The sequence below is a fragment of the Homo sapiens genome, chromosome 4, assembly GCF_000001405.40.
Source record: "Homo sapiens chromosome 4, GRCh38.p14 Primary Assembly".
Taxonomy (NCBI): domain Eukaryota; kingdom Metazoa; phylum Chordata; class Mammalia; order Primates; family Hominidae; genus Homo; species Homo sapiens.
The window spans coordinates 55,690,438-55,718,042 of NC_000004.12; the positions used below are offsets into that span (position 1 = coordinate 55,690,438).

At 38.1% G+C, this 27,605-nt stretch overlaps 2 annotated features.

The window, feature by feature from the left end:
* Positions 17,111–17,612: an enhancer, noted in NCBI's record as "H3K27ac hESC enhancer chr4:56573715-56574216 (GRCh37/hg19 assembly coordinates)". NCBI's record gives its function as "activates a minimal SCP1, AML or CMV promoter by ChIP-STARR-seq in primed H9 embryonic stem cells {active_cell/tissue: H9 hESC(primed)}" and the evidence as "EXISTENCE:reporter gene assay evidence [ECO:0000049][PMID:30033119]".
* Positions 17,613–18,112: an enhancer, noted in NCBI's record as "H3K27ac hESC enhancer chr4:56574217-56574716 (GRCh37/hg19 assembly coordinates)". NCBI's record gives its function as "activates a minimal SCP1, AML or CMV promoter by ChIP-STARR-seq in primed H9 embryonic stem cells {active_cell/tissue: H9 hESC(primed)}" and the evidence as "EXISTENCE:reporter gene assay evidence [ECO:0000049][PMID:30033119]".

Here is a 27,605-nt window from a genome sequence, read left to right on the forward strand (position 1 = left end):
TAGCTCCCAAATTACTATCGTGTGTTTGATTGTGGGAGGCTCACATAATCTACTTTAATCTTGTAGGAATATTATTACAGATTCTACCTGATCCAGCCATCCATCCATCCACTTATGCAATTATTTATTCAATATGCATTTATTGAGCATCTACTAAGTGCCGATCACTTTCACTTGAGACATCTTAGAGTTAAACTAGATTCAGATTCTGCCCTGGAGGAGACCAGTATAGAAAGAGAGACAGACATGAATATAAAACAAGGCAGTGTAAAACATCATAGGTGACATAAAGAAAACCTGTCCTGATCACAGTGGACAGAAAGAAGAGGTCACTTCTTGGTGACTATGTTGCCCAGGCTGGTCTCAAACTCTTGGCCTCAGAGATCCTCCTGCTTTAACCTCCCAAAGTGCCAGGATTACAGATGTAACCCACTGCACCTTGCCAAGAGTTAGTTTTTAAATCATTGACAGTATGAAGGGTTTCTTTTCTTTTCTTTTCTTTTGGTGGGGAGATAGTGGCTTACAGTAAAAAAAAAAAAATTATACACTATATCTCAACTAGAAACTAAATGAAACCAAACTAGTATGCACTTTTGAGACATTAAGATGAAATCAAAAACTAACACCAATCATACTTCCAAACTCATTTATCATATCAAAGCCAGAGAAGGACACTATAAGAAAATAAAAATTACAGGCCAATATCCCTGATAAACATAGATGAAAAAGTCCTCAACAAAATACTAGCAAGCCAAATTCAACAGCACATCAAAGGATAATTCATCAAAAGGATAATTCATCGAGATCAAGTAGGATTAACCCTGGGATGCAAAGAAGGTTCAACATAGGTAAATTAAATATATGTAATGTACTGCATTAAGAGAATGAAGGTCAGGAATCACATAATCATCTCAATAGATGCAGGAAAGGCATTTGGCAACATTCAACATCTTACAATGATAAATACTCTCAATACATTAGGTACAGAAGGAATGTATCTTAATACAACAAAGTCTATATATGACAAGCCAATAACTAGCATTAGTGAAAAGTTAAAAAATCAGAAAGGAAGAAGTTATTTCTGTTTGTGAATGACATGATCTTATATAAAGAAAATCCTAGGGTCTGTTCCAAGATGGCCAAATAAGAACAGCTCCGGTCTGCAGCTCCCAGCGTGATCGATGCAGAAAACAGGTGATTTCTGCATTTCCAACTGAGCCTCTGCTGGTGGTACCCAGGCAAACAGGGTCTGGAGTGGACCTCCAGCAAACTCCAACAGACCTGCAGCTGAGGGACCTGTTTGAAGGAAAACTAACAAACAGAAAGGAATAACATCAACATCAACAAAAAGGACATCCACACCAAAACCCCATCTGTAGGTCACCAACATCAAAGACCAAAGGTAGATAAAACCACAAAGATGGGGAGAAACCAGAGCAGAAAAGTTGAAAATTCTAAAAACCGAGAGCCTCTTCTCTTCCAAAGGATCACAGCTCCTTGCCAGCAATGGAACAAAGCTGGATGGAGAATGACTTTGACGAGTTGACAGAAGTAGGCTTCAGAAGGTTGGTAATAACAAACTTCTCTGAGCTAAAGGAGGATGTTTGAACCCATCGCAAGGAAGCTAAAAACCTTGAAAAAAGATTAGATGAATGGCTAAGTAAAATAAACAGTGTAGAGAAGACCTTAAATGACCTGATAGAGCTGAAAACCATGGCATGAGAACTACGTGATGCATGCACAAGCTTCAGCAGCTGATTTGATCAAGTGGAAGAAAGGGTATCAGTGATACAAGATCAAATTAATGAAATAAAGTGAGAAGAGAAGTTTAGAAAAAAAGAGTAAAAAGAAATGAACAAAGCCTCCAAGAAATATGGGACTATGTGAAAAGACCAAATATATGTTTGATTGGTGTACCTGAAAGTGACAGGGAGAATGGAACCAAGTTGGAAAACACTCTTCAGGATATTATCAAAGAGAACTTCCCCAACCTAGCAAGGCAGGCCAACATTCAAATTCAGGAACTACAGAGAAGATCACAAAGATACTCCTCAAGAAGAGCAACTCCAAGACACATAATTGTCAGATTCACCAAGGTTGAAATGAAGGAAAAAATATTAAGGGCAGCCAGAGAGAAAAATCAGGTTACCTTCAAAGGGAAACCCATCAGACTAACAACGGATCTCTTTGCAGAAACTCTACAAGCCAGAAGAGAGTGGAGGCCAATATTCAACATTCTTAAAGAAAAGAATTTTCAACCCAGAATTTCATATCCAGCCAAACTAAGCTTCATAAGTGAAGGAGAAATAAAATCCTTTACAGACAAGCAAATGCTGAGAGATTTTGTCACCACCAGGCTTGCCTTACAAGAGCTCCTGAAGGAAGCACTAAACATGGAAAGGAACAACCAGTACCAGCCACTGCAAAAACATGCCAAATTGTAAAGACCATCGATGCTGTGAAGAAACTGAATCAACTAACAGCTAACATCATAATGACAGGCTCAAATTCACACCTAACAATATTAACCTTAAATATAAATGGGCTAAATGCCCCACTTGAAAGACACAGACTGGCAAATTGGATAGAGTCAAGACCCATCAGTGTGCTGTATTCAGGAAACCCATCTCATGTGCAGAGACACACATAGGCTCAAAATAAAGGGATGGAGGAAGATCTACCAAGCAAATGGAAAGAAAAAAAAAAGGCAGGGGTTGTAATCCTAGTCTCTGATAAAATAGACTTTAAACCAACAAAGATCAAAAGAGACAAAGAAGGCCATTATATAATGGTAAAGGGTTCAATTCAACAAGAAGAGCTAACTATCCTAAATATATATGCACCCAATACAGGAGCACCCAGATTCATAAAACAAGTCCTTAGAGACCTACAAAGAGACTTAGACTCCCACACAATAATAATGGGAGACTTTAACACCCCACTGTCAATATTAGACAGATCAATGAGACAGAAGGTTAACAAGGATATCCAGGACTTGAACTCAGCTCTGCACCTAGTGGACCTAATAGACATCTACAGAACTCTCCACCCCAAATCAATGAAACATACATTCTTCTCAGCACCACACCGCACTTATGCCAAAATTGACCACATAGTTGGAAGTAAAGCACTCCTCAGCAAATGTAAAAGAACAGAAATCACAACAAACTGTCTCTCAGACCACAGTGCAATCAAATTATAACTCAGGATTAAGAAACTCACCCGAAACTGCACAACTACATGCTCCTGAATGACTACTGGGTACATAACGAAATGAAGGCAAAAATAAAGATGTTCTTTGAAACCAATGAGAACAAAGATACAACATACCAGAATCTCTGGGAGACATTTACTGCAGTGTGTACAGGGAAATTTATAGCACTAAATGCCCACAAGAGAAAGCAGGAAAGATCTAAAATCGACACACCCTAACATCACAATTTAAAGAACTAGAGAAGCAAGAGCAAACAAATTCAAAACTAGCAGAAGGCAAGAAATAAGTAAGATCAGAGCAGAACTGAAAGAGATAGAGACATAAAAAACCTTTCAAAAAAATCAATGAATCCAGATGCTGTTTTTTAGAAAAGATCAACAAAATTGACAGACCACTATCAAGACTAACAAAGAAGAAAGGAGAGAAGAATCAAATAGACGCAATAAAAAATGATAAAGGTGATATTACCACTGATGCCACAGAAATACAAACTACCATCAGAGAATACTATAAACACCTCTACACAAATAAACTAGAAAATTTAGAAGAAATGGATAAATTCCTCGACACATACACCCTCCCAAGACTAAACCAGAAAGAAGTTGAATTTCTGAATAGACCAATAACAGGCTCTGAAATTGAGGCAATAATTAATAGCCTACCAACCAAAAAAAGTCCAGGACCAGATGGATTCACAGCTGAATTCTACCAGAGGTACAAGGAGGAGTTGGTACCATTCCTTCTGAAACTATTCCAATCAATAGAAAAAGAGGGAATCCTCCGTAACTCATTTTATGAGGCCAGCATCATCCTGATACCAAAGCCTGGCAGAGACACAACAAAAAAAGAAAATTTTAGACCAATATCCCTGATGAACATAGATGCAAAAATCCTCAATAAAATACTGGCAAACTGAATCCAGCAGCACATCAAAAAGCTTATTCACCACAATCAAGTCAGCTTCATCCCTTATATGCAAAGCTGGTTCAACATATGCAAATCAGTAAACATAATCCATCACATAAACAGAACCAACGACAAAAACCACATGTTCATCTGAATAGATGCAGAAAAGGCCTTCAACAAAATTCAACAGCGCTTCATGCTAAAAACTCTCAATAAACTAGGTATTGATGGAATGTATCTCCAAATAATAAGAGCTGTTTATGACAAACCCCCAGCCAGTATCACAACGAATGGGCAAAAAACTGGAAGCATTCCCTTTGAAAACTGGCACAAGACAGGGATGCCCTCTCTCACCACTCTTATTCAACATAGTGTTGGAAGTTCTGGCCAGGGCAGTTAGGCAAGAGAAAGAAATAAAGGGTATTCAATTAGGAAATGAGGAAGTCAAATTGTCCCTGTTTGCAGATGACATGATTGTATATTTAGAAAACCCCATCGTCTCAGCCCAAAATCTCAAGCTGATAAGCAATTTCAGCAAAGTCTCAGGATACAAAATCAATGTACAAAAATCAGAAGAACTCCTATACACCAATAACAGATGAACAGAGAGCCAAATCTTGAGTGAACTCCCATTCACAATTGCTACAAAGAGAATAAAATACCTAGGAATCCAACTGACAAGGGATGTGAAGGACCTCTTCAAGGAGAACTACAAACCACTGCTCAACGAAATAAAGGAGGACACAAACAAATGGAAGAACATTCCATGCTCATGGATAGAAAGAAGCAATATCGTGAAAACAGCTATACTGCCCAAGGCAATTTATAGATTGAATGCCATCACCATCAAGCTACCAATGACTTTCTTCACAGAATTGGAAAAAACTACTTTAAAGTTCATATGGAACCATAAAAGAGACCGCATTGCCAGACAATCCTAAGTAAAAAGAGCAAAGCTGGAGGCATCATACTACCTGATTTCAAACTATACTACAAGGCTACAGTAACCAAAACAGTATGGTACTGGTACCAAAACAGAGATATAGACCAATGGAACAGAACAGAGCCCTCAGAAATAACACCACACATCTGCAGCCATTTGATGTTTGACAAACCTTGCAAAAACAAGAAATGGGGAAAGGATTCCCTATTTAATAAATGGTTCTGGGATAACTGGCTAGCCACATGTAGAAAGGTGAAACTGGATCCCTTCCTTACACTTTATACAAAAATTAATTCAAGATGGATTAAAGACTTAAATGTTAGACCTAAAACCATAAAAACCCCAGAAGAAAATCTAGGCAATACCATTCAGGACATAGTCATGTGGAAGGACTTCATGACTAAAACACCAAAAGCAATAGCAACAAAAGCCAAAATAGACAAATGGGATCTAATCAAACTAAAGAGCTTCTGCACAGCAAAAGAAACTACCATCAGAGTGAACAGGCAACCTACAGAATGGGAGAAAATTTTTGCAATCTACCCATGTGACTAAGGGCTAATATCCAGAATCTACAAAGAAATTAAACAAATTTACAGAAAAAAAAACCCCATCAAAAAGTGGGCAACGGTTATGAACAGACATTTCTCAAAAGAAGACATTTATGCAGCCAACAGACACGTGAAAAAATGCTCATCATCACTGACCATCAGAGAAATGCAAATCAAAACCACAATGAGATACCATCTCACACCAGTTAGAATGGGGATCATTAAAAAGTCAGGAAACAACAGATGCTGGAGAGGATGTGGAGAAATAGGAAAGCTTTTACACTGTTGGTGGGACTGTAAACTAGTTCAACCATTGTGGAAGACAATGTGGCGATTCCTCAAGGATCTAGAACTAGAAATACCATTTGATCCAGCCATCCCATTACTGGGTATATACCCAAAGGATTATAAATCATGCTACTATAAAGACACATACACACATATGTTTATTACAGCACTATTCACAATAGCAAAGACTTGGAACCAACCCAATGTCCATCAATGATAGACAGGATTAAGAAAATGTGGCACATATACACCATGGAATACTATGCAGCCATAAAAAAGGATAGTTCATGTCCTTTGTAGGGACATGGATGAAGCTGGAAACCATCATTCTGAGCAAAGAATCATAAGGACAGAAAACCAAACACTGCACGTTCTTACTCATAGGTGGGAATTGAACAATGAGAACATTTGGACACAGGGTGGGGAACATCACACACCGGGGCCTGTCATGGGGTAGGGGGTTGGGGGAGGGATAGCGTTAGGAGAAATACCTAACGTAAATGACGAGTTGATGGGTGCAGCAAACCAACACGGCACATGTATACCTATGTAACAAACCTGCACGTTGTGCACATGTACCCTATAACTTAAAGTATAATAAAAAAAGAAAACCCTAAAGACTCTACAAATAAAAATATTAGAACAAGTAAACAAATTCAGTGAAGTTGCAGGATAAAAAAAATCAACATAACAAAAATCAGTAGCATTTCTATACACTAACAACAAACTACCCCCCAAAAAATCATGAAAATGATCTTGTTTATGATAGCAACTCAAAAAATAAGATACTTAGGAATAAATTTCACCAAGGGAGTGAAAGATCTGTACTCTGAAAACTATAAAACACTGATGAACAAAATTGAAAAAGACAAACATAAATGAAAAGATATTCCATGTTCATGGATTGGAATAATTAATATGGTTAAAATGACCATAAAAAACCCGAATAGCAAAGCCATCACAAGCAAAAAGAATAAAGCCAAAGGTACCATACCACCAGATCTCAAAATCAGAACTACAATGTATCTCCACTAGAAACTAAATGTCAGTACCATGCTGTTTTGGTTACTACAGCTTTAGTAGTAGTATAGCTTAAAGCTGTAGTAACCAAAACAGCATGGTACTGACATAAAAACTCATACATAGTCAAATGGAAGAGAATGAGGGACCCAGAATTTAATCCACATATCCACAGCCAACAGATTTCTGACAAAGATGTCAAGAATACTCACTGGAGAAAGGACAGTCTCTTCAACAAATGGTGCTGGGAAAACTGGATATCCATATGCAGAAGAATGAAACTAGACCCCCACCTCTCACCCTATACAAAAATCAACTCAAAATGGGTCAAAGGCCTAAATGAAGAAGAAAAACAATAAAGCGACTAGAAGAAAACACAGAGAAGATGCTTCACAGCAATGGTCTGGGAAAGATTTTATGAATAAGACCTCAAAAGCACAGGCGTCAATAGGAAAAATAAACAAATGGGATTATATCAAACTAAAAAACTTCTGCACAGCAAAGGAAATATCAACAGTGAAAAGGCAACCTACAGAATAGGAGAAAACATTTAAAAATTACTCATCTGACAGGGGATTAATATCCAGAATATACAAGGAACGGAACCATCTCAACAGCAAAACAAAAATCTGTTTTTAAAATGGGCAGATGATTTGCACAGACGTTTCTCAAAGGGAGACATGCAAACAGCTAACAAACATATGAAAAAATGCTCAATATCATTAATCATCAGGGAAATGCAAATCAAAACCACAGTGAGGTATAATCTCACTCCATTTAGCATGGCTATTATCAAAAGGATAAAAAAAGATGCTGATGAGGATGCAGAGAAAAGGGAACTTTTATACACCGTTGATGGGAATGTAAACTAGTACAGCTACTATGGAGAACAGTATGGAGGTTTCTCAAAAAACTACAAACAGAACTACCGTATGATCCAGCAAGCCACGACTGGGAATTTATCCAAAGGAAAGGAAATCATTATATTGAAGGAACATTTGTACCCTATATTTATTGCAGCACTATTTTCAACAGCCAAGAGATGGAATCAACATCAGTATCCAGCAACAGATGAATGGATTTTTAAAAGTAGTATATATACACCGTGGAATACTATTTAGCCATAAAACAGAATGAAATCCTTTTATTTGTGGCAACATGGATGGAATTGGAGGACACTATCTCAAGTTAAACAAGCAAAGAACAGAAAGTTAAGCACTGCAGGTTCTCACTTGGAAGTGGAAACAAAAACATTGATCTCATAGAAGTAAAAAGTAGGACAGGGTAGTAGAGGCTCAAAAAGGTAAGGGAAAGGAGGGGATAATTGGGAGAGATATGTTAGAGGATCCAAAATTATAGCTAGATAGGAGACAAAAGTGTTCTATACCACTGTAGAATTATTGCAGTTAACAATAATATGTTATATAGTTTCAAATAGCTAGAAGGAGGATATTAAATCTTCACAACACAAATAAATGATAAATGTTTGAGATGATAGATATGCTAATTACCCTAATAGAATACATTATGCTGAAACATCACTATGTACTCCATGAATTGGATGGTATTATTTGTCAATTAAATAGAAATGAAACAATTTAAAAATGTATACAATTTTTAAAAATTGCTAAAATGTCCATACTGCTCAAATTAATATACAGATTCAATCCAATTTCTATCAAAATTCCAACGACATTTTTACAGAAATAGAAAAAACAATCTTAAAATTCATATGAAACCACAAAAGACTCTGAATAGCCAAAGCAGTCTTGAGCAAAAAGAACAGAGGGAGGTATCACACTACCTGATTTGAAAATCTACTACAGAATTACAATAACCAAAAAAGCATGGTACTGGCATAAAAAAAGTCACATGCACCAATGGAATAGAACAAAGAGCCCAGAAATAAATCCACACATTTAAAGTCCATTGATTCTCAACAAGGATGTCATGAACACACAATGGGAAAAGAACACTCTTCAATAAATGGTGCTTTGAAAACTGGATATTCATATACAGAAGAATGGAATTAGATCATCACCTCACACCATGTAAAAAACTCAATGCAAAATGAATTAAAGACTTAAATGTAGGACTTGAAACTTCAAACCTCCTAGAAGAAAACATAGAGGGAAAGCTGCATAACACTGGTCTAGGCAAAGACTTTTTGCATATGACTCCAAAAGCATGGCAACAAAAGCAAAAATAGACAAATGAGATTATATCAATCTAAAAAGCTTCTGTACCACAAAGGAAACAATCAGCAGAGTAAAAAGAGACAACCTATAGAATGGGAGAATATATTTGCAAACCATATGTCTGCTAAGAGGATAATATCTAAATACATATAATGAACTCAAACAACTCAATAGTAAGAAAACAAATAGCCCAATTAAAAAATGGGCAAAGGACCTGAATAGACATTTCTCAAAAGAAGACATACATATTGTATAACATGACGACTACAGTTAACAAAATATTGTATTCTTGAAAAATGCTGAGAGTGGATATAAAATGTTCTCACCACAGAAATAGGAATGCTTTTACACTGTGAGAGTGTAAATTAGTTCAACCATTGTGGAAGACGGTGTGGCAATTCCTCAAGGATCTAGAACAAAAAATACCATTTGACCCAGCAATCCCCTTACTGGGTATATACCCAAAGAATTATAAATCATGCTACTATAAAGACACATGCACACGTATGTTTATTGCATCACTATTCACAATAGCAAAGACTTGGAACCAACCCAAATGCCCATCAATGATAGACTGTATAAAGAAAATGTGGCACATATGCACATGGAATACTATGCAGCCATAAAAGGAGTGAGTTCATGCCCTTTGCAGAGACATGGATGAAGCTGGAAGCCATCATTCTCAGCAAACTAACACAGGAACAGAAAACCAAACACTGCGTGTTCTCACTAATAAGTGGGAGTAAAACAAGGAGGACACATGGACACATAGAGGGTAACATCACACACCGGGGCCTGCCAAGGGGGTGGGGGGCAAGGGGAGGGAAAGCATTACAACAAATACCTAATGCATGCAGGGCTTAAAACCTAGATGATGGGTTGATAGGTACAGCAAACCACCATGGCACATGTATACCTATGTAGCAAACATGCACATTCTGCACATGTATCCCAGAACTTAAAGTAAAATAAAAATAAAAAAGATTTAGTTGTAAGAACGTCCGCCGGGCGCGGTGGCTCACGCCTGTAATCCCAGCACTTTGGGAGGCCGAGACGGGCAGATCACGAGGTCAGGAGATCGAGACCATCCTGGCTAACACGGTGAAACCCCGTCTCTACTAAAAATACAAAAAAAAAGAAATTAGCCGGGCGTAGTGGCGGGCGCCTATAGTCCCAGCTACTCGGAAGGCTGAGGCAGGAGAATGGTGTGAACCCGGGAGGCGGAGCTTGCGGTGAGCCGAGATCAGCGCCACTGCACTCTAGCCTGGGCGACTGAGCGAGACTCCGTCTCAAAAAAAAAAAAAAAAAAGAATGTCCTATAAATTTTTTTATTATGAAAAAATGTTATCACCACAAAAATGACAGCCATATGAGGTAATGCATATGTTAATTAGCTAGATTTAGTCATTCCACAATGTATAAATACTTCAAAATATTATGTTGTACACAATACATACATACAATTTTATCTGTCAATTTAAAAAGTAAATATTTATTTTGGGGTATGATAAAGCAAATATCTTCAGTTACATGCTGTTACTGAAATTTAAGGACTATTATTGTTCAAGAACGATTTTTAAATTAAAATTCTTTATACTCAAAAAATGAGGGCATAAATGGTTAATAGGTATATTTTTTTAATGTTCAACATCACTAATCATGAGAGAATGCAAATTAAAACCACAATGGGGTATCATCTCACACCTGTTAGAATGGCTACTATCAAAAACATGAAAGATATCACAAGTTGGCAAGGATGTGGAAAAAAGGGAACCCTGTACACTCTTGGTGGGGATGTAAGTTAGTACAGCCATTATGGAAAATAGTATGGAGGTTCCTCAAAAAATTAAAATATAACTAGTATGTGATTCAGCCATGCCATTTCTGCATATATATCCAAAGGAGATGAAATCAGTATGTCAAAGAGATATGTGCACTCCCATGTTCACTGCAGCATTATTCACAACAGCTAAGACATGTAAACAACCTAAGTATCTATCAGCAGATGAATGGATAAAGAAAATGTAGTATATATACAAAGTGGAATACTATTCCGCCTTAAATAAGAAGGAAATCTAATTTGCGACAACATGGGTGAACCTGGAGAACATTAAGTGAAATTACCCAGACACAAAAAGATTTAAAAATTGCATGATCTTATTTATATGTGGAATCCAAAAAATTCAAACTCATAGAAACAGAGAGTAAAATAGTAGTTACCAGAGGCTAAGGGGTAGGGAGTTTGGTGAAATGTTGGTCAAAGACACAAAGTTTCAGTTACACAGGAGGAGTAAGTTCAAGAGATCTACTGCATACCATGGTACTATAGTTAATAACAATATATCGTATACTTGAACATTGTGAAGAGGTAGATTTTAAGTTTCTTACCATACACAAAAAATGGTAACTATGTGAGGTGATGCATATGTTAAATAGCTTGATTTAGCCATTCTACAATGTATACATATATCAAAATATCATGCTGTGTGCCACAAATAATACAATTTTTAGTCATCAATTTAAAAATTTAATAAATAGTAAATAATAAGCAGTTTTTTATATTAAGTATAGAAACCTTAAAAAGAGAAAAATCAAATAATTTTATCTATTACTTTTAATTTAATGGCAGCTAAAAATAAGCAGAAATACTACAAATCTAATAAATTCAAGAACAGAAATTTAGGAGGAAGATATGCAAATGAAATTACTCATAAGATTATATATTACAAGGCAAATCAAACTGTTGTATAGGTCAAGCTAATCTTTTTTTTTCAGTGTAATGAAGTAGGATTTGCCCATTAACTAAGTTATGTAGATCTACCTTGCTTTTTTGCCTATGTTCAACAAGATACTTAGAAAGGAATTATTTCCAACCCATTAGCATGGTGGTTTTTCAAACCTGAGTGTAAGAATCACCTGGGGAATCTGTGAAAATTGCAGATCCCACGGCATCATCTCCTTCTGCCAGATTCTAATTCAGTAGGTCTGAGGTGAAGCCAAGGAATCTGCATTTTAGCACACATACAAGGGTATTTTAGTGCTTCAGGTTCACAGACCATACTTTGAGATAAACTATATTGTAGATGGTCAAGTAAAAACAATCTATCCCACATGTATCCTGATTTTTTTTTTTTTTTTTTTTTTGAGACACAGTCTTGCTCTGTCGCCCAGGCTGGAGTGCAGTGGCACAATTTCAGCTCACTGCAACCTCCGCCTCCTGGGTTCAAGCAATTCTCCTGCCTCAGCCTCCCGAGTAGCTGGGATTACAGGTGCATGCCACCACGCTCGCCTAATTTTTGTAATTTTAGTAGAGATGGGGTTTCACCATGTTGGCTAGGCTGGTCTCAAACTCCTGACCTTGTGATCCACCCGCCTCAGCCTCCCAAAGTGCTGGGATTACAGGCGTGAGCCACTGTGTCTGGCCATGTATCCTGAATTTTGAGATACAGTTGATAAATGATCAATTCTAATTGGAAGATTCCTTTAGCATCAAAAGGTAAACTCATGTTATGTCATATTTATCCTTTGAACAAGATCTCCAAGGATTTGACCATGATCCTCAAGTTAGACTTGAGGTCCAAGATGGCTGTGACCATGACATGTACCTACAGCCTCCCAGTAAGGAAGAGTGTCACCCATCGCCTCTTCTGTTGGAAACTTCTCTGCTCTCCTGAAACCCACAATGGATCATTTTAGGGAATTTAAATTAGCGTGGGCATGCCCATTGGTGTGCTCTGACATGTAACCAAAGGAGACAGGGAAAAGTCAGAGTTGAATGAATCCTGGAATTTCAGAACTGGAAGATGATGCTTGAAGGTCTAATCCTCTAAATGTACAGATGAGTAAACAGGCAGCCAAATAAATAAATAAAAATGTAAGCAACTTACTAAAAACCACATTTGTGGAGTTTCCCTGTACTCTATGTCAGATGATAGCCTGACCTTTAATTCCTCCATAATGATGGATTGCTTCATCCATCCTTCCATACACCAGGAAAAAACAAACTAATTAGATGCATATTTTCTATCTACTGAATGGCAAAAGGGATTCTTGGAGTGGGGCAGCAGGCAATTTGGGCTCTTGCAATTTTCCTTATAATTATGTCATTTAAAATTTTTAATCTGTCTTCTCTATTGAGATGTCTTCACTGGTAATGAATAATGACAGATGCAAACTTTTTAACTAGAATTTCATATGTTATGGAAATACTGACACTCAAGAGTTGAAGAAAACTCACTGGTGTTTTTGCTGATAAAATACATAATTTGCTTTTAGTTGCTCCTAGATTTTTATGTTGTATATACCAGTACAAAAAGAAATAACTGACATAATTGTACCTGATTTGCTAAATAACTAGCAATCATGGCAATAGTTTGATAACAGTATGACAGATAGGAAGAAAAGCAGCAGCTATTCTATATAGTCTGTGAGGACCAGAAAGTGAAATCTATGCTCTTTACTGTAGCTGAATGCATAGATCCCAATAAAAATGGCATAGGTATCAATAAAATGAGAAATGAATTGATTCCTAGATTCAAGGCCAAGTGCTTCTTGTAAGCCACCTCAAACCATTTTGTGAAACAGATCAAGGTGTAGATAAATGCATGCACACGCAGCACATTCATATATACACATAAAACTATTTTTCTCTTTCACTTCACCATCATTCATTCAATTTATTCAACAAATTTTTACTTCATGCCTACCAAGTACCAGGCACTCGTGTGAGTAACAGCAGCAAACAAGACATACCAAGCTTTCTGAGGCTCATAACCTAGAGGGAGGAAGACAGACCATAAGCAAAAAAGCAAACAGATATACAAAGTAATTTCAGAAAGTAATAAGAGCTCTGAAGAGTTGGACCAAGACATGAGAGACAGACTGGGTAAGAGGTCATTTTGATGGGAAGACCCCAGTGAAGAAGTGACTCTGAGATGGGAACAATGAGAAGGAGCCTGAGAGTGTAAAGCACTGTGTGAAGAGGGAGGAACATTCTGAGCAGGGCAAACAGCAAGGACAAGGTCAGTCAGGAGGCAGGAATAAGCTCAGCCCTAAGCATCGTGAGCGGGTGAAATGAGCAAGAAGGGGATGGTATGAGCTGAGGTTGGCAAGACAGGCAGATGTCAAGTCATGCTGGGCTTTAGGGGTTATTCCAGTGTTGCATAGCAATAAGGGTCAGAACTCTGATTTTCTGATTTATAGCTCAGGTCCTTATTCTCCCCTTTGCCACTTTCTTTGGGGGGAGGCATGGAATGGAATAGCCAGCTGCCCATTCAAACAAAACAGAGACCTGCCAAGCTCTGGGAGGCATGGAAGAGGTGACTATGTCCTCAGTCGCATTTTGCCTTCTTGGATGTGGCTCCCCTTGGGGTTCTCTTACTTTGATTCCCATCAGTCCCATCCTGCCCAAGTCCCTGAAGTATAGTTGTCCATACACGGACAAAGAAATACTGCTGTCCTTGTTTCTCCTTGGCATGTGTGAGATAAGCAAACATTTTTAAAGGAGAAATTTAGTAAATAGAAAGGGAGAAATAGATTTCCAAAATGCAGGTTACTGAACATAAGATTCATTCATCCCTGTGTTACCCAGCCTCAATGGATTGGTGCAGATCCTCAAATACCCTGACCAGCTTTTTTCCCACCCAAGTGCCACCCATTATTTGACATTAGATCTTGGGGACCCATCCTGTTTCCTGACTGTGGGAGATGATCTTCCTGTCCAGTCTGTCATTCTGAGACAAGTTTGCAAAATAATCAAATTAAACTTTGATTCAAACTTGCTCTCCTTATGAATGAAAAAAAAATTTACTTTCCCAAGAAGCTCTTTCTTCATTGCCTATCCAAACCCTTTTCATTCATTAAGATCCAGTTCACATTCTATCTGATCACTCTGGGTTATATTACTGTCTTTCTCTAAATAGCTACCTACCTACCATTTATGTAAGCCAACAAAGCATTTATTTACATATGGGTTTATTCCCAAATTGTGGCAGCAAAGCCATAAACTTCTCAAGGGTAGAGACAATGTCATAATATTTTATTATTACTGTCTGTTATAACTTGAAATGTAAATGTTGCATTTCTGTTTTTTGTTTTTGTTTTTGTTTGTTTGTTTGTTTGTTTGTTTTTTTGAGATGGAGTCTCGCTCTGTCACCCAGGCTGGAGTGCAGTGGTGCAATCTTGGCTCCCTGCAAGCTCTGCCTCCCGGGTTCACACCATTCTCCTGCCTCAGCCTCCTCAGTAGCTGGGACTGCAGGTGCCCACCACCGCACATGGCTAATTTTTTTTTTTTTTTGTATTTTTAGTAGAGATGGGGTTTCACCATGTTAGCCAGGATGGTCTTGATCTCCTGACCTCATGATCAGCCCGCCTCAGCCTCCCAAAGTGCTGGGATTACAGGCGTGAGCCACCACACCTGGCCCTGAAATGTAAATGTTGTATTTCTTGGATTGTTATTTTTCAGTTATTTAAAAAAAAAAAAAAACATGGACTACATTTATATCTTAAATAAATAAAACAAAAAGATATCTTTCTTGATTAGACAGTCTAGCATAACTTTGGGTACAAGATTATGTAACTAACATCCTTATTAAATTTAATTAGGAGGTAGGGGGTTGCACTTACATACTAACATTTTTTCTTTGTGCCAGGCAATGTTCTTAGTGCTTTGCATAAATATTTTTATTTAATTAAGTGGAATAAAATCTGAGTCACATATAAACATTAGTGTACATTTAGGATGCGCAAATAAGATGAATTATTTTTATCAATTTAAAAATGTCAGTTAATCTAATTCAGCTACCCAAGAAATCATTCCTCAGAATCCCAAATTTCTGTCTTGATGCACCTCATCATGATGAAAATATCAAACTTAGAATGTTCAATACACTATAACATTGCTAATCATATTCTCCAATAATTTATAGTGATAATCATGTTCTTAAAATATGATTACAAAAACTATTTGAATTGTCCTAAAACGATTTTCATTTTATGCATTTGAATTAAAGTCAATAAGTTCCTCTAAAATAATTACTTTATCTCACTTTCCTTGGTATATTCTCTTAGTACTCAAGAGTATCTTTGTTTATATTAGATTCACATGACTGTCCAAATATGTAACTGTGGATGCCAGAAATATTTTTCAGATTAGGGCAAATAGTTACTGGAAAAAAATTACTATTTTTCTACTAAAATAGTCACTGGAAATTTTTTTCTAAAAATACCCAATATGAAATGTGGTAGAATTATTTAATGTGGGAACCACAGCTTTAACTCAAATATTGTTGGCATCAGTGAGAGTCTGTGTTGCTACATAAAGGAAAAAATAGCCCTTATTATAGATGAAATATTAAAAAGATTTCAGAAATATATAAATTTAAAAGAGGTCACTTATATTTAGTGATATATTTAGTGATATAACTTGAAATGTAAATGTGGATTTGTTGGATTGAATGTTATCTTTCAGTTTTTTTTAAAAAACCATGGACTACATTTATATCTTAAATAAATTAAACAAAAAGTTATATTTTCTTAGATAGTCTAGCACATAGCATCACTTAATAAATGTAACCTTTCATATCACATTATCACATGACTCTCAACATTTCCAATGGTGAGATTTAGTGAGTGATAGAGATAAGTTACTTATATGTTAGTTTTTCATAACAGTCTCAATCAATACTTATTTAAATATTTACTCATGCAGATATTCATTCCTAAAACATTTTTGTCTAATACGTGCCAAGGACTGAAGAATTACATGTTTTCTATAACACATACAGGATGTGCACATGCATCAGTACCTAATCTACTATACTCTAAAATTTAAATATTATCTCATGCTTTCAGCAGGGAGTGATTATTTAACTATATGTATATCATGCTTCTATTTACACCTCTAAATTTAAGTAATAAATAGAGGCAGATTTACCAAGAAACAATGAATCTTAAACTTTAGAGTCCCTCATTTGCACAGGCCCCTTGCAAGGTCTAAGAGGAGTTCCAGCAACAGAGTCACAAAAACATATATTTTTTGTCAAATTTGAAAATGTAAGACATTTTAACTACAATTGTTTAAGAGCTTTCCCGGGGGGCAGTTCCAAGATGGCTGAATAGGAAGGAACAGCTCCAGTCTATAGCTCCCAGCATGAGTGACACAGAAGACGGATGATTTCTGCATTTCCAACTGATGTACCAGTTTCATCTCACTGGGGATTGTTGGACAGTGGGTGCAGGACAGTGGGTGCAGCACACTGAGCGTGACCCGAAGCAGGGTGAGGCATCACCTCACCCGGGAAGCAAAAGGGGTCAGGGAATTCCCTTTCCTAGTCAAGGAAAGGGGTGACAGACAGCACCTGGAAAATCAGGTCACTCCCACCCTAATACTGCGCTTTTCCAACGGTCTTAGCAAACAGCACACCAGGAGACTATATCCTGCGCCTGGCTCGGAGGGTCCTACGCCCACTGAGCCTGGCTCATTGCTAGCACAGCAGTCTGAGATCAAACTGCAAGGCGGCAGCGAGGCTGGGGGAGGGGCACCCGCCATTGCCGAGGCTTGAGTAGGTAAACAAAGCAGCCAGGAAGCTCGAACTGGGTGGAGCCCACCGCAGCTCAAGGAGGCCTGCCTGCCTCTTTAGACTCCACCTCTGCGGGCAGGGCACAGACAAACAAAAGGCAGCAGAAACCTCTGCAGACTTAAATGTCCCTGTCTGATAGCTTTGAAGAGAGTAGTGGTTCTCCCAGCATGCAGCTTGAGATCTGAGAACGGACAGACTGCCTCCTCAAGTGGGTCCCTGACCCCTGAGTAGCCTAACTGGGAGGCACCTCCCAGTAGGGGCAGACTGACACCTCACACGGCCAGGTACCCCTCTGAGATGAAACCTCCAGAGGATCGATCAGACAGCAACATTTGCTGTTCAGCAATATTTGCTGTTCTGCAGCCTCCGCTGCTGATACCCAGGCAAACAGGGTCTGGAGTGGACCTCTGGCAAACTCCAACACACCTGCAGCTGAGGGTCCTGACTGTTAGAAGGAAAACTGACAAGCAGAAAGGACATCTACACCAAAACCCCATCTGTACATCACCATCATCAAAGACCAAAGGTAGATAAAACCAAAAAGATGGGGATAAAACAGAACAGGAAAACTTAAAATTCTAAAAATCAGAGCGCCTCTCCTCCTCCAAACGAATGCAGCTCCTCACCAGCAATGGAACAAAGCTGGGCAGAGAATGACTTTGATGAGTTGAGAGAAGAAGGCTTCAGATGATCAAACTTCTCCGAACTAAAGGTGGAAGTTTGAACCCATCGCAAAGAAGTTAAAAACCTTGAAAAAAGATTAGACGAATGGCTAACTAAAATAACCAGTGCAGAGAAGTCCTTAAAGGACCTGATGGAGCTGAAAACCACGGCATGAGAACTACGTGACGAATGCACAAGCATCAGTAGCCGATTCGATCAACTGGAAGAAAGGGTATCAGTGATGGAAGATGAAATGAATGAAATGAAGCAAGAAGAGAAGTTTAGAGAAAAAAGAATAAAAAGAAACGAACAAAGCCTCCAAGAAATATGGGACTATGTGAAAAGACCAAATCTACGTCTGACCAGTGTGCCTCAAAGTGATGGGGAGAATGGAACCAAGTTGGAAAACACTCTGCAGGATATTATCCAGGAGAACTTCCCCAATCTAGCAAAGCAGGCCAATGTTCAAATTCAGGAAATACAGAGAATGCCACAAAGATACTCCTTGAGAAGAGCAACTCCAAGACACATAATTGTCAGATTCACCAAAGTTGAAATGAAGGAAAAAATGTTAAGGGCAGCCAGAGAGAAAGGTCAGGTTACCCACAAAGGGAAGCCCATCAGATTAACAGCTGATCTCTTGGCAGAAACTCTACAAGCCAGGAGAGCATTTCTTTAAGAATATTCAACATTTTTAAAGAAAAGAATTTTCAACCCAGAATTTCATATCCAGCCAAACTAAGCTTCATAAGTGAAGGAGAAATAAAATACTTTACAGATAAGCAAATGCTGAGAGATTTTGTCACCACCAGGCCTGCCCTACAAGAGCTCCTGAAGGAAGCACTAAACATGGAAAGGAACAGCTGGTACCAGCCGCTGCAAAAACATGCCAAATTGTAAAGACCATCGAGGCTAGGAAGAAACTGCATCAACTAACGAGCAAAATAACCAGCTAACATCATAATGACAGGATCAAATTCACACATAACAATATTAACCTGAAATTTAAATCGGCTAAATGCTCCAATTAAAAGACACAGACTGGCAAATTGGATAAACAGTCAAGACCCACCAGTGTGCTGTATTCAGGAAACCCATCTCGCGTGCAGAGACACACATAAGCTCAAAATAAAGGGATGGAGGAAGATCTACCAAGCAAATGGAAAACAAAGGCAGGGGTTGCAATCCTAGTCTCTGATAAAACAGACTTTAAACCAACAAAGATCAAAAGAGACAAGGCCATTACATAATGGTAAAGGGATCAATTCAACAAGAAAAGCTAACTATCCTAAATATATATGCACCCAATACAGGAGCACCCAGATTCATAAAGCAAGTCCTGAGTGATCTACAAAGAGACTTAGACTCCCACACAATAATAATGGGAGACTTTAACAACCCACTGCCAACATTAGACAGATCAACGAGACAGAAAGTCAACAAGGATATCCAGGAATTGAACTAGGTCCTCACCTAGCGGACCTAATAGACATCTACAGAACTCTCCACCACAAATCAATGAACTGTACATTCTTCTCAGCACCGCACCACACGTATTCCAAAATTGACCACATAGTTGGAAGTAAAGCACTCCTCAGCAAATGCAAAAGAACAAAAATTATAACAAACTGTCTCTCAGACCACAGTGCAATCAAACTAGAACTCAGGATTAAGAAACTCACTCAAAACCACTCAACTACATGGAAACTGAACAACCTGCTCCTGAATGAGTACTGGGTACATAACGAAATGAAGGCAGAAATCAAGATGTTCTTTGAAACCAACGAGAACAAAGACATGACATATCAGAATCTCTGGGACACATTTAAAGCAGTGTGTAGAGGGAAATTTATAGCACTAAATGCCCACAAGAGAAAGCAGGAAAGATCTAAAATTGACACCCTAACATCACAATTAAAAGAACTAGAGAAGCAAGAGCAAACACATTCAAAAGCTAGCAGAAGGCAAGAAATAACTAAGATCAGAGCAGAATTGAAGGAGATAGAGACACAAAAAACCCTTCAAAAAATCAATGAATCCAGGAGCTGGTTTTTTGAAAAGATCAACAAAATTGATAGACCGCTAGCAAGACTAATAAAGAAGAAAAGAGAGAAGAATCAAACAGATGCAATAAAAAATGATAAAGGGGATATCACCACTGATCCCACAGAAATACAAACTACCACCAGAGAATACTATAAACACCTCCACGCAAATAAACTAGAAAATCTAGAAGAAATGGATAAATTCCTCAACACATACACCCTCCCAAGACTAAACCAGGAAAAAGTTGAATCTCTTAATAGACCAATAACAGGCTCTGAAATTGAGGCAATAATTAATAGCTTACCAACCAAAAAAAGTCCAGGACCAGACGGATTCACAGCCGAATTCTACCAGAGGTACAAGGAGGAGTTGGTACCATTCCTTCTGAAACTATTCCAATCAACAGAAAAAGAGGGAATCCTCCCTAACTCATTTTATGAGGCCAGCATCATCCTGATACCAAAGGCTGGCAGAGACACAACAAAAAAAGAAAATTTTAGACCAATATCCCTGATGAACATCGAAGCAAAAATCCTCAATAAAATACTGGCAAACTGAATCCAGCAGCACATCAAAAAGCTTATCCACCATGATCAAGTGGGCTTCATCCCTGGGATGTAAGGCTGGTTCAACATATGCAAATCAATAAACATAATCCAGCATATAAACAGAACCAACGACAAAAACAACATGATTATCTCAATAGATGCAGAAAAGGCCTTTGACAAAATTCAACAGCCTTTCATGCTAAAAATTCTCAATAAATTAGGTATTGATGGGACATATCTCAAAATAATAAGAGCTATTTATGACAAACCCACAGCCAATATCATACTGAATGGGTAAAAACTGGAAGCATTCCCTTTGAAAACTGGCACAAGACAGCGATGCCCTCTCTCACCACTCCTATTCAACATAGTGTTGGAAGTTCTGGCCAGGGCAATCAGGCAGGAGAAGGAAATAAAGGGTATTCAATTAGGAAAAGAGGAAGTCAAATTGTCCCTGTTTGCAGATGACATGATTGTATATTTAGAAAACCCCATTGTCTCAGCCCAAAATCTCCTTAAGCTGATAGGCAACTTCAGCAAAGTCTCAGGATACAAAATCAATGTACAAAAATCACAAGCATTCTTATTCACCAATAACAGACAAACAGAGAGCCAAATCATGAGTGAACTCCCATTCACAATTGCTTCAAAGAGAATAAAATACCTAGGAATCCAACTGACAAGGGATGTGAAGGACCTCTTCAAGGAGAACTACAAACCACTGCTCAATGAAATAAAAGAGGATATAAACAAATGGAAGAACATTCCATGCTCATGGGTAGGAAGAATCAATATCATGAAAAGGCCATACTCCCCAAGGTAATTTGTAGATTCAATGCCATCCCCATCAAGCTACCAATGACTTTTTTCACAGAATTGGAAAAAACTACTTTAAAGTTCATATGGAACCAAAAAAGAGCCCACATTGCCAAGTCAATCCTAAGCCAAAAAAACAAAGCTGGAGCCATCACACTACCTGACTTCAAACTATACTACATGGCTACAGGAACCAAAATAGCATGGTACTGGTACCAAAACAGAGATATAGACCAATGGAACAGAACAGAGCCCTCAGAAATAATGCCACACATCTACAAATATCTGATCTTTGACAAACCTGAGAAAAACAAGCAACAGGGAAAGGATTCCCTATTTAATAAATGGTGCTGGGAAAACTGGCTAGCCGTATGTAGAAAGCTGAAACTGGATCCCTTCCTTACACCTTATACAAAAATTAATTGAAGATGGATTAAAGACTTAAATGTTAGACCTAAAACCATAAAAACCCTAGAAGAAAACCTAGGCAATACCATTCAGGACACAGGCATGGGCAAGAACTTCATGACTAAACACCAAAAGCAATGGCAACAAAAGCCAAAATAGACAAATGGGATCTAATTAAACTAAAGAGCTTCTGCACAGCAAAAGAAACTACCATCAGAGTGAACAGGCAACCTACAACATGGGAGAAAATTTTTGCAATATGCTCATCTGACACAGGGCTAATATCCAGAATCTACAATGAACTCAAACAAATTTACAAGAGAAAAACAAACAGCCCCATCAACAAGTGGGCGAAGGATGTGAACAGACACTTCTCAAAAGAAGACATTTATGCAGCCAAAAAACACATGAAAAAATGCTCATCATCACTGCCCATCAGAGAAATGCAAATCAAAACCACAATGAGATACCATCTCACACCAGTTAGAATGGAGATCATTAAAAAGTCAGGAAACAACAGGTGCTGGAGAGGATGTGGAGAAATAGGAACAGTTTTACACTGTTGGTGGAAGTGTAAACTAGTTCAACCATTGTGTAAGTCAGTGTGGCGATTCCTCAGGGATCTAGAACTAGAAATACCATTTGACCCAGCCATCCCATTACTGGGTATATACCCAAAGGACTATAAATCATGCTGCTATAAAGACACATGCACACGTATGTTTATTGCGGCACTATTCCCAATAGCAAAGACTTGGAACCAACCCAAATGTCCAACAATGATAGACTGGATTAAGAAAATGTGGCACATATACACCATGGAATACTATGCAGCCATAAAAAAGGATGAGTTCATGTCCTTTGTAGGGACATGGATGAAGCTGGAAACCATCATTCTCAGCAAACTATCGCAAGGACAAAAAACCAAACACCGCATGTTCTTACTCATAGGTGGGAATTGAACAGTGAGAACACATGGACACAGGAAGGGGAACATCACACACCGGGGACTGTTGTGGGGTGGGGGGAGGGGGGAGGGATAGCATTAGGAGATATACCTAATGTAAATGACGAGTTAATGGGTGCAGCACACCAACATGGCACATGTATACTTATGTAACAAACCTGCACGTTGTGCACATGTACCCTAAAACTTAAAGTGTAATAAAAAAAAAAAGAGCTTTCCCTTTCCACTACTACTTTTCCTTTATCACATTTTCCATTTTGTTGGGTGGCCTTGGTGTGACCAGAGGTATTTTGAAGATCCACCTTAGGGGAAGTTGAACTGGAGACATTCAGCCTGAATTTAGTGGGATCTATTGATTCAGTCATCAGTCAATTCTCTGTGTAGTTAGGTTACTACTGGCCTCCCAGGATAAAATTTCCTCGATGAATAGTGCAAGTGCCCACTCTGGGACTCATCTGGTATCATAATTCAAAGATTAAGGGCATGGGCTATATTGTGTAATGAATGTGGAGACAAACAGAACTTTGAAATAAACAGAGCCAGATGCTAGTCTATGAAGAATTCTTTCAATTATCAGATAGGTAAAATCGTAAGTTGAAGATTTTATCTCATTTTCTGCTATTCAAAATGGAAGTTCTATTTTGTCAGAGACATGCTTGATATTGCAATGTATTCAAATGTAAACACATTGTATTTTTTAAAGTAGGAATCCTAAAATAAAAATGTTCAGAATTCCTATGAATGGAGGGTACAAATTTACAGTGACACTACAAACAGTGTTTTTGTAAGCAAACTTGGATATCTGTGATCTCAACATATCTGATCATCTCTTGGCATATCTGACACATCTTGCAGTGTGGAAATTCCAGAGAAAATGGGTTCCAAAATTCCTTTTCTTAAAAAGTGATCTCTAAATTATATAAGGTTCATGTTCCACAAAACCTGGATCTGTCCCTAGATTATCCTGAGCCAGTGAATCATAAAATCATAACATCTTAAGAGATGGTATAGACTTTAAATACCATGTAGTCTGGTGGGGTTTTTTTCATATATTTTCTTTTAAGTTTCAAGATCCTTTCTTTTTTTTTTTTTTTTTTCAAATAAAGGCCTATGTTAGTTTCTATAGCACTTCCCAGGAGATGCAATAGAAAGTCTTAGTAGTTGATATTATGAAAAAAGTAGAAAATAATAAACCCTGGAGTTATATATATAAGATGTATACTTGTTTCTATTTAATAAGAGAAGAACATATGCAGAGAACAAGGACACCAAATAGTTCTAGAAAAAAAAATAAGAATTGTACCAAAATAAAGAAAGGATTGTCTAGCATGGGTAATCAAGAATCATAAGAAAAGGAATCCAACAATATGTGTCCTAATGATAAATTAACCCAATGTCCTAAAGACAAAAATTAAATATGTGTCTTCAAGCTCTCATAGCTGGGGGGTCAAACTTCTATACTACCAAACTAACTATAATAAAACTCTTGGCCGGGCACGGTGGCTCACGCCTGTAATCTTAGCACTTTGAGTGGCCAAGGTGGGTAGATCACTTGATCTCAGGAGTTCAAGACCAGCCTGGGCAACATGGCAAAACCCCGTCTCTACAAAAAAATACAAAAATTAGCCAGGCATGGTGGTGTGTACCTGTGGGGCTGGGGCAGGGAGGATTGCTTGAGCCCAGGAGGTGGAGGTCGCAGTGAGCCAAGATTACGCCACTGCGCTCCAGCCGGGGTGACAGAGACCCTATCTCAACAAAAAATAATAATAAAAAAATTCTAATACAATGTACATAGTTTTATATAATTTTATTTTTTTTAAATGTAGCCACATGGTTCAAATTTCAATCATAAAATATTAAAAGGTATAATTTTAAATTTTACATTTCTTTTTAAGTCCCTCTTTTTCACTTGTCCCCCATCTGCTCAGTTATGAGTGTCTCAGAAGCCCCTCCCAATCCAGGTAACCACTGATCAGTGTGTTATGTCTTCTTACAGAGTTTCTTCATGCATAATAAAGAAAATAATGAATTATTTGTCCCTCTTTCTAAACAAATTTTATTCTCTTCCCAGGTTTTAAAAATTGAAACATAATATACCATAAAATTCACTCTTTTAAAGTGTACAATTAAGTGGTTTTTATTATATTCATAAAGATGTACAGCCATCATCACTAATTAAAGAACATTTTCATCACTCCAAAAATAAATGCCCCTTAGCTATCACCCCCCTGCCCCCAGTTCCCCCAACCCACTATCCCTAAGCAATCATTAATCTACTCCTGTCTCTGTAGATTTGTCTATTCTGGACATTTCATGTAAATTGAATCATACAGTAGGTGGCCTTTGTGACTGGCTTCTTTCACTTAGCACAATGTTTTCAAGGTTCATCCATGTTGCAGCATGTATCAGTGCTTCATTCCTTTCTATGATTGACTATCCCCATTGTATAGACATATACCACATTTGATCTATTCATTAATTGATAGATATTTATTGTTTCGAAGCTTTTGGCTATTATGAATAATACTGCTACAAACACACATGTACACATTTTTGTATGAACAGGTATTTTCAATTGTCTTGGGATGCATCTAGGAGTGGGATTGCTGGGTCATACAGTAAATCTACATGTAATTATTTTGCAAAACTGCCAGACTCTTTTCCAAAGTGGCTACATCATTCTACCTTCCCACCAGCAACTTATGTGTGTTCCAATTTCTCCACTTCCTCACCAACAGTTGTTATTGTCCATCTTTTTAAATTATTTCACTTTTTAATACAAAAGGAAGGAAGCATACCATGCACACTGCTGTGAAACCTGCTCTTTCACATAGTATCTTGGGCAGATTTTACTATCTGGAAAACAGAAAGGACCTGTTTCTCGGAAGCAGCCTCAGCTGGTACAGAAGAAGAGGATGTGAGGGGAACCCTGAATGCACGTGTGCATGCACTCACACACACACATTAATACAATATAGTATATATAATATATATGTGTATAATATATATACTATATAACACACTATACTATATATACACTATATATACATACTATTTCATTTGTTCCAGTTTTCTGTATCACAAACACTCACACAGAGGCCCCTGAAAGGCTCCAAGAACACCATCAATAAACTACTTATCTGCTGTAATCGCAGCACTTTGGGAGGCCAAGGTGGGCAGATCACTTGAGGTCAAGAGTTTGGGACCAGCCTGGCTAAAATGGTGAAACCCCATCTTTACTAAAAATACAAAAATTAGCCGGGCATGGTGGCAGGTGCCTGTAGTCCCAGCTACTCAGGAGGCTGAGGCAGGAGAATCACTTGAACCCAGGAGGTGAAGGTTGCAGTGAACAGAGATCGTGCAACTGCACTCTCCAGCCTGGGTGACAGAGCAAGACTCCGTCTCAAAAAAAAAAAAAAAAGCTACTTATCTGGTTCATCCCTCACTTGACATACAAGGAAACCAAGTCCAGAGAGGCCATGTGACCTTCCTAGGTAGACTGGTTTGCCGAAGCTATTGTAATAAAGTATTGTAAACTGGATGGCTTAAACAACAGACATTTATTATCTGGGGTTCTGGAGGCTGGACATCCAAAATCCAGGTGTCAGCAGGGTTGTGAGAGAAAATCTCTCTTCTGACCGCTGTGAGAGAAAATCTGTTGCAGGCCTCTCCCCTGGCTTCTGGAAGTTGGCAAGCAATCTTTGGAGTTCCTTGGCTTCCAGAAGCATCACTCTGATCCCTGCCATCAGGTTCACATGGCTCTCTCCCTGTGTGGGTCTTTGTGTGCAAATTTCCCCTTTTAATTAAGACACCCATCGTATTGGAGTAGGATGCAGCCAAATGCTCTCATCTTAACTTGATTCCCTCTGTGAAGACCCTGTTTTTAAATATAGTCGCGTTCTGGGGTGCTGGGGGCTGGGACTGCAATATATGAATTTTGGAGAAACACAATTCAACCCGTAACACCAAAGTTACTGCCACTAGCAATGCTTTCTAGATTTCCCAGATATCCTTGAATTTCCTAAGTGTCTTTTATACGAAGGATCTAAGCTTATAAAACATTTTCATTAGTAACACCTCTAATTAAAGACAAATCCCTTAATTCCACAAGAAAACAACTGAGATTTGATGTCAATTCAAAAAGCTAGTTATTAATCCATCATAACCCATTTTGTGGGCATTAATGGAGGATAACTTTTCATGCACACTGTGAGCTGAGGGTCAGGAAATATGGGGCCAAGCCCTGACTCTGCCATTCATTCACTGTGGGATCATTTACCTTCTGGATTGCCACTGCCTCTTATTGTAGAGGAGTTGATACGATTTTGAAATTCCAGATGATCCTCTGATTCCTATTCTATTTGGTGATGCTCTGTTTTGTGCTAGTCTCTTCTATGCCCCCACACAAATATAGGCAACAGAGAGACAGATGATATGTACAAGCAAGCATACTTATAA